This window comes from Homo sapiens, chromosome 7 (assembly GCF_000001405.40).
Source record: "Homo sapiens chromosome 7, GRCh38.p14 Primary Assembly".
Lineage (NCBI taxonomy): Eukaryota > Metazoa > Chordata > Mammalia > Primates > Hominidae > Homo > Homo sapiens.
In genome coordinates, this window is record NC_000007.14 from 9,867,827 (window position 1) to 9,880,542 (window position 12,716).

General features: G+C 35.3%; 1 long non-coding RNA gene across 1 annotated transcript in view; it reads right to left on the minus strand.

Moving 5' to 3' along the window:
- The window catches only part of LOC105375147 (uncharacterized), a 172,035-nt gene that overhangs the window by 110,305 nt on the left and 49,014 nt on the right, over positions 1-12,716 (minus strand). The gene's annotated exons all lie outside the window — the stretch shown is intronic.

The following is a 12,716-nucleotide window of genomic DNA, read 5'->3' on the forward strand; positions in this document are numbered from 1 at the left end:
CTTACACAGGTATGGGTTAGAAATTATGGAACTAAGTTATATGTATATTAAATTGAACATATAAATATGCTGTAGATAATGATAGCTAGCCTTCTCATTGTTGAAGAAAGAGGTTACAAATAAGACAGAAGAAAAGAATGAATTCTGTGTTGCTGGATTGAAATTGGAGGAAGCAGTGCGATCTCATGGTTTTAAATTATTGATACAGATAGTATAGCAGTTTCCCATTACTGCCATATGAAATTAGCATAAATGTAGCAGGTTATGACAACAATGATTTGTTATTTTATAGTTCTGAAGGTCATAAGTCCAAAAGGGCTGGGTTAATATCAAGGTGTTTGCAGGGCTGCATTTTCTTTTAGAAGATCTAGGAGAAAATCTAACTTGCTTGCCTGTTTCAGCTTCCAAAGGCTGTCTGCATTCCTTGGCTTGTGGCTCCCTTCCCCCATTTTCAAAGCCATCAGCATAGCATATTCAAATTTCTCTTCAATTCTGACCTTTCCTTCCCCTGTCTTCATTTATAAAAACCCTTTTGATTACATTAGGTCTACCCAGATAATCCCTCCCCACTCAAGATCCCTAACATATCACATAAGTCTCTTTTGCCACATATGGTAACATGTTCACAAAAGTCTGGTTATTAGGATGTAGACATCTTTAGGAGGCCTTTCTTCTGCCTACACAGATAGACAGCTCAGAAATAAATCTCCATATGTATGTATCTGCACAGGTCAAAATTTTCTCTCTCTAGATATATTTTCAAGCTTTGACTGCTGAGAGGGCCTGGCAACAGAGAAACCACAATAGCAAACAACACATCTCCACCTCAGATCTTAGTTCTGCAATAACATTCTTCAATGAAAAGAGCTCAGAGCCTTTGAAGAAGCTGTTGATTTCAGAGCTGTAGCACTGAAAACACAAGTTGAGCCTAGAACATTCTGTGGTGCTTCCAAAATAGAAAAGTTATCCAAAATAACGGAGGCATAGTAGAAATCAATCTGAAAGAACCCCCATTGGCCAAAACTGGAAATAACTAAACAACAAAATAAGTAATGATTGTATTGGATTACAATCTATAAAGTAAAACATATACCTATGTGTCTATTCTGAATGAAGTTGCCAGTTAAAATATAAGACACACAAATTTTAATTGCAGCTAAACAATGTATGAAAGTATATTTCAAATATACATGGGACATACTTATACTAAAATTTATTTGCTGCTTGGCTGAAATTAAAATCTAACTGGGTGTTCTGTATCTTCATTTATAAAATTAGGCAATCACAATCCTGATATAAATAAATAGCTGATTGATAGATATAAGTAGATGAATGACAGAAAGATAAATAAGCAAAGACAGTATTTTATTGCAGAAGGATACTGATTAATGACTATAAGCAAAATGAAAGAAACAGAAAATCACCAACAGAACACCATAGAAATATTTGTCTCAGAGAAGATTAAGTTGATGGCTACTAAAATTAGTGGGTTAAAAGTCTGTGGAGAAACAAGATACAAAGTCCCAAAAAGACTCCCCCAAGGTATTTATTAACCAGAAAGCAAACAATGGCAACTCTAGGTTGATTTATCCCCCCATAAACTATTCCCATCTTCGAACCCCAGGTACCTATGAATGTGATATTATTTGAAATGGGGTCTTAACAGATATAATTAAGTATCTTGATATGAGATCCTGGATTTAGGATAGACATTAAATCCAATCACAGTCATATGGTGCTTAACAACATTTCAAACCAAAACAGACTGCATATGCAATGGTGGGCCTATAAAATTATAACAAAGCAGAAAATTTCCCACTGCCTAGAGCCATCCTAGCCATCGTAAAGTCATAGTGCAATGCATTACCATGTGTTTGTGGTGAAGCTGGTGTGTAGTGTTTATAAAGTCTACAGTAGTGTACAACTGTGTCCTAGGCATTCTAATTCACTCACCACTCACACACTGACTCACTCAGAGCAGCTTCCAGTTCTGCAAACTCCTTTCACGGTAAGTTCCCTCCACAAGAGTACCATGTTTATCTTTTATACTATGTTTTGACTGTTTCTTTTTTTATGTTTAGATACACAAGTACTGACAATTATGTTACAATTTCCTATAATATTCAGTATAGTAACATGCTGTACAGGTTTGTAACCTAGAAGCAACACGCTATGCCTTATAGCCTAGGTGTGTAGGAGGCTATACCATCTAGGTTTGTGTAAGTTCATTCCGTGATGCAATTTTCAGAATGTATCCCTGTCATTAAGTGACATATGACTATACTGATGTCTTTATAAGGAGAGGAAAACTGAAGACATGGGGTTTGCATCCTGGAAAAGAAGGAAACATTAGGGAGAAAAAGAATGAAATCTGAATAAAGTCTTTAGATTAGTTAATAGTATTATGACAATGGTAATACTATTTCCAAATATTTCTTTTAATATTTATCAAACAAATATTAGAATATTTACCAAATTACTAAGTATTTATTTTAGTAATTATACTATAGGTATATCAACCTTTAGGAAAGTGGGGAATAAGGTATAAGAGACATCTCTACTATATTTCAACTCTTTTGTAAATGTATTTTTTTGAAAATACAAAGTATTAAATAAAAATTTTATTGTTGAGAGCTAACTGAGCAGTTTCATTTGGGTGTTACCGTTAGAAACAAGACTACCCTAATTGCTTTTAACTGGGGTATAGGATAGGAGAGTCAGAGTACTATGGACTGAATTATTTGCCCTCAAAATTTATATGCTGAGATTCTAACCCCTGTACCTCAGAAGACAGGACCTTTAAAGAGGTAACTAAGTTAAGAGGAGCCCATTAGGATGGGCTCTGATCCAATCTGACTGTTGTCATAAGGATATGAAGACACTGGAGAATCACCAAGAGAAAAGACCCCATGAGGACACAGTGGAAAGGCAGCCACTTGCAACCCAAGGAGAGAAGCATCAGGAGAAAGGGAACCTGCCGACACCTAGTTCTTTGGTTTCCAGTTTCTGGAAATATGAGAAAATCAATTTCTGTTGTTTAAGCAACTCAGTTTGTGGCAGGTTGTTACGGCAGCCGTAGCAAACAATTGCACAGCTAGTATAACCTCTTGCCCATGGAAGCTGTGGTGGAATCCATGCAGGCTTTGAATAAGTTAACATCTCCCAATTTCCCCTTGTTTATCTATATTTGAAGAATAATACTTATATTTAAGCCTGTTACGATTATCAGAAACACTATAGCTAACAGCATTTTTTTTTTTATGAAGAGAGAAGCAATTTTTTGCTAAGCATGAAAGGGGGCATTCAAGTTCAGAGCTTGAGGGGCAGAGTGAACGTTTTGAAGAGACATGACAAGAAACAGGAGATCAAAGAGTAGACATAAAATAAAGTATAATTCCAATGAACTCCATGACTAAATAACATCCCCAAGTAGTTAATTTGCTTGTATCAAAACCTAATTACAAATGCCCTTTGTGCCATTTGTAATTCAAGCTTCTTTTTGTCCTTTTACAAAGCAAATCAAATATGCAATATATATTTATTATAGGTTGGCCTCTAAAAGTTAGACAATGGAAGCCTTCAGATATTTGACACCGAGTTATCTAATTAGTGTCAGTAAAACTTAAAATATACACAATTCACATTAGATAATGTATGTTAAGAGAGAACTTTCAGAAAAAGGCTAAATTGTAACTCCCATATAAAAAGAACATATGTTAAAGATTGTATTTAACTCATGAGGGAAGCAGGCAGATGTTACCAATGGTTCAAAAGAGAATCTGAAAATGGAAACAATTATAGATCAGGAATATTAAAATGCAAATGCATATGAGAGAAAAGTAGTTTTTCCTCTTCGTAGGAGGAAGACAACTGAACCTCCACCAGCCAGGATAGAATTTACATGCCTGTCAATGACATACAACTTAAAAAAGTAAAAAAATCACTCAAGAGATAATGAAAGACTTGAATCAGATAACTTGAATCAGTGTCCTCCCAACAGTGCATATACATTTTTCTTTTTTTTTTTCTTTTTGAGACGGAGTCTCGCTCTGTCATCCAGGCTGGAGTGCAGTGGTGCGATCTTGGCTCACTGCAAGCTCCGCCTCCCAGGTTCATGCCATTCTCCTGCCTCAGCCTCCTGAGTAGCTGGGACTACAGGCGCCCGCCACCACGCCCGGCTAATTTTTTCTGTTTTTAGTAGAGACGGGGTTTCACTGTTAGCCAGGATGGTCTGGATCTCCTGACCTCGTGATCTGCCCGCCTCGGCCTCCCAAAGTCCTGGGATTACAGGCTTGAGCCACCGCGCCCAGCCCATTTTTCTTTTGGAAGCATAAATTTCTTTCTACATATTTAGACAGAGGTCCTAATGTATCTGGAATTGGTTCCTTCCAGTGGGTTCTTGGTCTCGCTGACTTCAAGAATGAAGTCGTGGACCCTTCTGGTGAGTGTTACAGTTCTTAAAGATGGTGTGTCCGGAGCTTGTTCCTTCAGATGTTCAGATGTGTCCGGAGTTTCTTCCTTCTGGTGGGTTTGTGGTCTTGCTGACTTTAGGAGTGAAGCCACAGACCTTCGCAGTGAGTGTTATAGCTCTTAAAGGTGGCTCGTTCCTCCCGGTGGGTTCATGTTCTCGCTGACTTCAGGAGTGAAGCTGCAGACCTTCCCGGTGAGTGTTACAGCTCATAAAGGTAGTGCAGACCCAAAGAGTGAGCAGCATCAAGATTTATTGCAAAGAGCGAAAGAACAACGCTTCCACAGCGTGGAAGGGGACCCCAGCGGATTGCTGCTGCTGGCTCGGTGGCCAGCTTTTATTCCCTTATTTGGCCTGGCTCATGTCCTGCTGACTGGTCCATTTTACAGAGCGCTGATTGGTCCATTTTACAGAGTGCTGATTGGTGCGTTTTTACAGAGTGCTGATTGGTGCGTTTATAAACCTTTAGCTAGATACAGAGCGCTGATTGGTGTGTTTACAATCCTTTAGCTAGACAGAAAAGTTCTCCAAGTCCCCACCCGACCCAGAAGCCCAGCCAGCTTCACCGCTCACTAACATGCTGTTTCTTTAATGAAATGTTGGTGATACGTCAAGGTCAGGATATTTTGGGGTATTCATAGGCCAAGAAAGTTAAAAATAGTTCCAGTGTGGCACATCCTCATGACTTCTGAAGAAGCTTCTCAAGTGGGTCTCTTTTAGTCAGCTATTTTTTTCTTCCTACAAAATGCTCAACAGTTTAGATATTCATGGTATAACCTCTATAGAGCCCTGTTCTGAATCTTATTAAAAGATATGAAATAAGCCTGAATGTAGACATTAAATATAAAAGTGTATGTAAAAATTTTAATTATTCAACTAGAGAATCAGTATGTGTTTTTGCTCTATGAGTAACATTCTAAAGTGAGTAAAAAAGATGGCTTGGAAAATAGACCCTAATAGAAAGGTTCAACTAGTTAGTTTGCCTTTTGTTTTCATTTCTGCTTTAGTCTGGGAGAATCAGTAGACCTAAAATAAGTCTTTGAAAGACACCAAAAGGTGCATTGTAGTAAATTATTTTCCATAGCTACAAAGGGCAGAAAAATAGATCAGTTCAGATTTCTTATGAAAAATGCACATTAGAATACATAGATATAGTGGTGTTAATTTTTAAACAGCTTACTGAAGGAAGTTATTGATATCCCTTCCTTGCTTTAGAGTCTAAAAAAGAACCATTTGCCGTTTATCTAAAGTGGCCTAAAAATAAATAGAAAATGAGTAAAAAATAGGAATCACCTAGGAAATTGTATAAATATTGCAAAGAACCAGCTCATATTATTCAGACTCAATAGGTAAGCAGTGAAGCCCAAGGATTAGAATTTTTATGACGGTTTTCACGTCATTTCAATGTACCTGTAGGTGTGGAATCAACTTCACAAGTTGTCCTCAGCCCACTTTTATTCTGACATATCATCCTATTAACCTCTCATAACATTCGATATAAATAATTCTGTGCAATATAGCTTCATGTGAACAGTGAAGTGGGAAAGGCAGAAATGTACCAGTAATTCCTGGATTTTCAAGTTTCAGAAAACCATTACAATCCAAAATGCAAAACGTATGTACCTGGAAGAGGAGATAAGGATATCTTCAGTCGGGTGCCTTCTCCTGTTTTCAGTACGCATTCCCTAATAATCTATCCGTAGGCCCTTGAGACCCTGGCAATTGCCTTGGAATATTGGCAACCTGGCTCTATCTTGCTATATTGTATTTTTACAATGTTCTTATTTTATTCATTAGTTTTAGCAGGTCACAATAATTTGTTTTGCTATTTATAGGCACTCAGGATACATTCACGTACTTTGCTGATAATGAAGTACTTTCTGTTTTACCAAATATCAGACTCTTGCATTTAAAATGTTTGTCTACATATCCCCTTTAGTACTTGTTTTATTTGCTCCGAAAGTGATCATTTTTTAAAATTTTATATTTTTAAAAAAGAACAAACTCTTACAGGTCCCATTTAATGAAGAAGTCATTGTAACAGATAAAAATTTTCCATCTGCAATTTTGCTTAGATAGTACCTGTTTTTAAAATGTAACAGTGAATAGTTCACCTGGGAAAGTAAATGTTTAACTGAGGATTTTTCATCATTACATGTATTCAGAACAACACAATTATTAAAGGGAACTAACCAATTTTTTTAATTTAGTGAATCTGGAAGGTGTTTTTCTTGCCTACTGTTTGTCAAGATCACTTAAGAGATGAAAAATAACATAGTGCCAGAAGGACAGAAACATTGAAAGGGAATGAGCAGTTTTGACAATAATAATAGATGAGTGTTTTGTGAAAATAGGTTACAGGTTTATCATTAATATTAAAGCTGCAACTCAAAATAAATGGGCACAATTTACAATAATCATTTACCATAATTACACATACATAGAAGACTTTTCTATCTCCAATAATCTCAAACTGGAGAGAGTTGAAGTTAACATTTCAATGAGAATGAACTTCAGTGCAGAACCACACTACAGTTATGACTAACTTAGACTCAAATGAGGTTCAACTGAGTTATTATTATTCCATCCAGGGTAACTTCACCTCAAATCCTCCCTGGACATGCAAGAATATTGTGGTAAAATAATAATAATAAATAAATAAATAAATAAAACTTACCAAATAAAAATGTCTTTCCCGGCTCTAAATTTGGTTTTTTCCTATACTTGTAAGGAAAACAGACCCCAAAGTGGCTAAGACCAGATCTGATATTAGAGGGAAGAAATGAGCTTATTTATGTAAAGTGCATAGCCCAGTTCCTAAATGACAAGTAATCACTTCATGGTAGTTATTGTTTATATTTGTTAATATTCACCAACTTTTCTTTGCTAAAAATTGCCTTACGTAAACAAATGAACCAATAAAACTAAGAGACAAACAAAAAAAAAATCTTCCTGGATAAGCTCTCTGGGCAGTCCTGCCACTGGGATTGTACTGCCCACATGCCAACATTGCATCTCCAGGAAGGTCCACACCATTCCCATTGAACCTTATTTATTTTATACTAAAAAATAAGTACCTCTCCAAAAATATAAGTAGTTTTTGACTGAAAATTATTTTAAGTGTATGGGTAAAAGTGTATGGACAATGGCTGAAATGAAATATGTACATATACAAAAAGAAAGTGGTTCTGAGAGTGAATGTATACGTGATTACATCTTATTCTGATTTTTTTTGGTTAACTTTTCTTGTCCATTTATTTTCTATGCTTCCATAACAAATGACAACAAACAAAATGGCTTGAAACAACAAATTCATTACTTTACAATTCAGAAGATCAAAAAACCTAGTAGGCATGAGTCTCACTGGACTAAGATAAAGGTATTGGCAGGGTTGTGTTCCTATCTGGAGGCTCTAGGGGAGAGAATATCTTTAGTACTCTTTCAGGTTGTTAGCAGAATTCAGTACCTTGCAGCTGTAGGACCAAGGTTACCATTTTTTGCTGCATGTAAGCTGAAGGCTCTTCCCAGCTTCTAGCGGCTACCGGCATTTGTGACCCCCTTCTTCCATCTTCAAAGTTAGCAAGAAGGTGAGGGGGAGTCAAGTCCTTCTCATATTGCATCTCTCAGATCCATCTTTCTGCCTTCCGCTACTACTTTTAAGGACTTAAGTGATTAAATTAGGCCCATCTGGATAACAACCCAGGATCAGGATAACCTGCCTATTTTAAGGTCAGGTGATACATAATCTGAATCCCATCTATAGCTTTGGTTCTCTTTGCCATCTAACTTAATAGAGTGACAGATTCTAGGGGATTAGGATCTGAACATTTTAGGGAATCTTTACACTGCCTACAGACAGTAGGTAGGCTTTTGACAACAAACTTTCAGAGTAACAGAGCCCAAATTTTGTACACCCAGTATTGATTTTACCAACTTTACCCATCATCTCTTGTTGCCAATTTTACTCTCTGATTTCTATTACCTATCTCTAAGTAAATAGCACAGTCTCTGCAATAAATCACAATTTCTCATGGTCACAACCACTCATTCTAGTTCTGCAAACAGTCTTACTATCTCTTCAATGTTTTTCAATCCATTTCTGACTTTGAATATCCAATTACTGCTATAGTACAAGCTCATATTCTTTTGATTCTCTTTATATATATATATACTTTAAGTTCTAGTGTACATGTGCACAACGTGCAGGTTTGTTACATATGTATACATGTGCCATGTTGGCGTCTTGGTGTGCTGCAGAAAAATTTCTACACATTAGTGAGTATATTCTGTCTAAAATGATTTTGTCATACTATCATTTTCCTGGTGAAAACCTTTCATAAGTACACTGTTTTCCTAGGAAAATGTACTGCTTAGCTGTCCTCTTTTTCTCTCATCCTTTACTTGACTTTTCTATTCAACAGCCAAGACTTGGCTTATCTATCATTTCTTTGAGTAGGAATCCTCACTCTTCCATTCTGGGTAAGGTACATCTTCTCATTCTTCTATACTTACCTCTCACAATATTTATCACACTGTTATCACCATAAATTTTCTTATCTATTTCTCTCAATGGATTGTAAGCTTCTGAAGAGCAAAGTTGTGCCTCTTATCTGACTTGAGTCCTTGAGTTCAGTTTAGAGCATGGCAACTAGTATGTATTAATATCCAATAAATATATGCTGAATGAATAATTAATAGTGATTAATATTATGTCTACCCTGTCTAGTCACATGGAATTCTTGAGGTCTCAGAGGCAAGGAATCTAGAGGACATTATGCTAAGTGAAATAAGCCAGACACAGAAAGAAAAATATTGCATGATCTCATTTACATGTAGAATCTAAAAAAATTCAAATATACAAAATAGAGGATAAAATGGGCATGGAGGCGGGAAAATGGGCGAGATGTAGATTCAAGATTACAAAGTAGCAGATACGTAAGATGAACAAGTCTAGAGATCAAACGTACAATATTAGAACTATAGTTAATAAAGTACTGTGTTTGGGATTCCTATCAGATGGATAGATTTCAGTAGCTCTTTCTATAAAAAGAAAAAATGAGTAACTATGTGAGATGATAAATATGTTAGTATGCTTCACTATAGTTAGTAACTCCTTTAACTATCTATATGTATTTCTTATATCATGTTACATACCTTAAATACACACGATAAAATTTAAATACATACGTACATAAAACAAAGAGGCAAAGTATGAGAAAATTATTTGGAAAACATATGCTACACTCATAGCTTTATACATTTTTTAATTTACAAATAAAAGATTTATTGTTAAGTATAATATATTAGCAGTCAATTTGCCTTGCTTTCCAGCACGTCTATACTTCGCAGAAAATTAAATATTTTAAAAGCTATTTTTAGAAACTTTATACTTGCCAATCTTTGTGTATTATGTACTAGTATTACATGTCAAACAAGGCAGAGAGATCTATTATGGTAAACCTACTTTCATATCTGCCTGGGGTCACAAGTCTCTTTCAGTACTAAGGCATGGACCATGTAGTGGGAATCCTGACATGCTGACAACATATTCCTATTAATTTAATAGTTGAATGAATGCCAGTTTAGAAATCAATGGATAGTTGCTCTATTGTATTTCAAACAACTGCTCCTCTGAAAGTGTTGAATATAGAGCTAAATAAAATCAGAGTACCAATACAAGTAGCATAAGACATCTGTCTTTTTATTTGAGCTGTGGTCAAGCTTGGGAAAAAAGTTTAGTTGGTTATTAATCTGATTATATCGGAACACTCAGTAAGCATCAGAAAATTACTATCTTTTCATTATGCCTGGATTTTATGAATCTTTCCATATGTCCTTTTCAAACTAAGGGAAGGGTGATCCTGAAAACAATTCTTCCAAAAGTACAGTAGTCGTTTACAAAATAAATATAACAAAAAATAACTTTTCTTTTTTTTTTTTTTTTTGAGATGGAGTCTCGCTATGTCGCCCAGGCTGGAGTGCAATGGCACGATCTCGGCTCACTGCAACCTCTGCCTCCTGGATTCAAGCGATTCTCCTGTCTCAGCCTCCCTAGTAGCCGGGATTACAGGTGTGCGCCACCATGCCTGACTGATTTTTTGTCTTTTTAGTAGAGAAGGGGTTTCACCACGTTGGTCAGGCTGGTCTCGAACTCCTGACCTCAGATGATCCGCCTGCCTCAGCCTCCCAAAGTGTTGGGATTACAGGCGTCAGCCACCATGCCCAGCCAAAATAGCGTTTCAATATACTAATAACTAATTAGAAAGCACAATGAAAATAAATTATAATCTTCACTAGCAATGAAAATGTATATTTTCTCAAAATGAACCAGAAAATTATAATACTTTTCTAAGTCATCCAATAATATTTGTATAAATGGAAAGATATACCATGCTGATGTATAAAGACTTGCAAATTGTTGGATTTTAATTATCCCTAAAGTGATTTACAGTTGCCATCTTGAATTTTATTCTAAATTGACTTCCAATATTTATTAAAGTTCCAAAGCAATTTTTAACCTAACAAAAACTGTTAAATGTTACTTGGAGGAAAAATTGAGAAATGGTAAATAATAAAATATATAAAAACAAAAACAATGAGAAAGTACCTGTAGTATTGGATATTCAACTAAAATATTTTTTCAAAAATTAAGATAAGGATGGTATCAGATAAGGAATATCAATTGATCAAATTGAATATAAAGTTCCAAAACTGACATGAGAATAAAGAACTTTTATATGTTATTAAGATATAATTTCATAGCAATAGTGAGAAAAAGAGAGTCAATGAATGGTACTAGAAAATTTGGAGGACTAAAGTAAATTTAGATTATTATCTTGTAATGTATAAATAAAGCCTAGATGGAATTCTGAATAAGGGAAGAAAGTAAAGAGGGGAGGGAGCAAGGAAGAGACGAAGGAAGGAAGGAATGGAGGAAGGAAGGGAGAGAGAAAGGGAGGGAGGGAGGAAGACAAAATATAAAAGTGTAGAGAAGGTAAAATCTTTAATGAGTGAGGAGAAAGTGAATTTATACATCTCTGCACAGTGAAGCTACTAAGATATTTAGCTCTTATTATGTAATTTCTGGAAGTTTATTCTTCTACAATTTTAATCAACACTATGCCTTGTTTTTTTCTTTCAACAAACATACAAGTTGCTTACTTAGCCCGAAGAGGTCAGTAAGCTTCTAGATTCGGAGCTAAAAATATGAGATGAGCCTGAAATATCTTACCATATATGCAAAAAGAAATAGAGATCTCATAGACTATCATTATCAAGGATTATGTTAAACGAACACACAAGCCAACGTGAAGTGGCTCCTGATGGGCAAAGGTAGAGATGAGGTGAGCGTAAGCATCCATAAGAATGATGATGATAATGAATTGCAATATATTATGCATATTTCAATCCATGACATCATTATATTTTTAAAGAAAATAATGTGTTTTGGTGGTTACATGTAGAGAATGCTACAGAAGCAACTCATTATTTTGAAAATGGGTACATACAATAAAAATGTATTCTACCTTTTCTATACAAATTCTACCTCGAAGTAACCAAATAGCTGTTCAGGAGAAGTTGCTCTGTAGAAGTATTCCAACATATAAGAAGTGATTGAATTAGAATATTAGCGTTTTCTGATGCATAATGAATTAATGAATACTAGCAACCACACTAATGGCTGCTGACATTCCAGAAAGGATGTATCTTCTAATGCAAATATACAATACCAGCTATAAAGTGTTCCTCCCCAATACTCTTGAAAGTATTTATTTCGGAAGAACAGAGAAACAGTAGTATGGGGATGCAGTGAGCAAAATCCCGATTATGGGAAACTATAGAACAAATACGCTGCTTTCCTTAAAAAATAAATTCTAAGGAAAAAATAAAGATAGAGATAGAACTTATAAATGAAGAGAGTTCTAAGAGATTAACTGAAATCATGTTTATTTGGATCCTGAAATGAATAAATAATACTAAACTTATGAGACAATCAGGGAGATTTGAACACTTACTGAATATCTGATAAAATGACAATTCATTAGTTTATAAGTATGATAATATTTTAGATATCCATGCTAAAATATTTACAGAAGAAGTAATAAAATGTCTGGATTCTGACAAAATAATTGAGGTAGTTTGGGAAATGCATGACAGTATCAATGAATCAAGTTTGTCTATGTGTTATTAATTCTTAAAGTTGGATAACTGACATATAGGTGTTTGTTATTGTGTTTTCTCTAAGTTT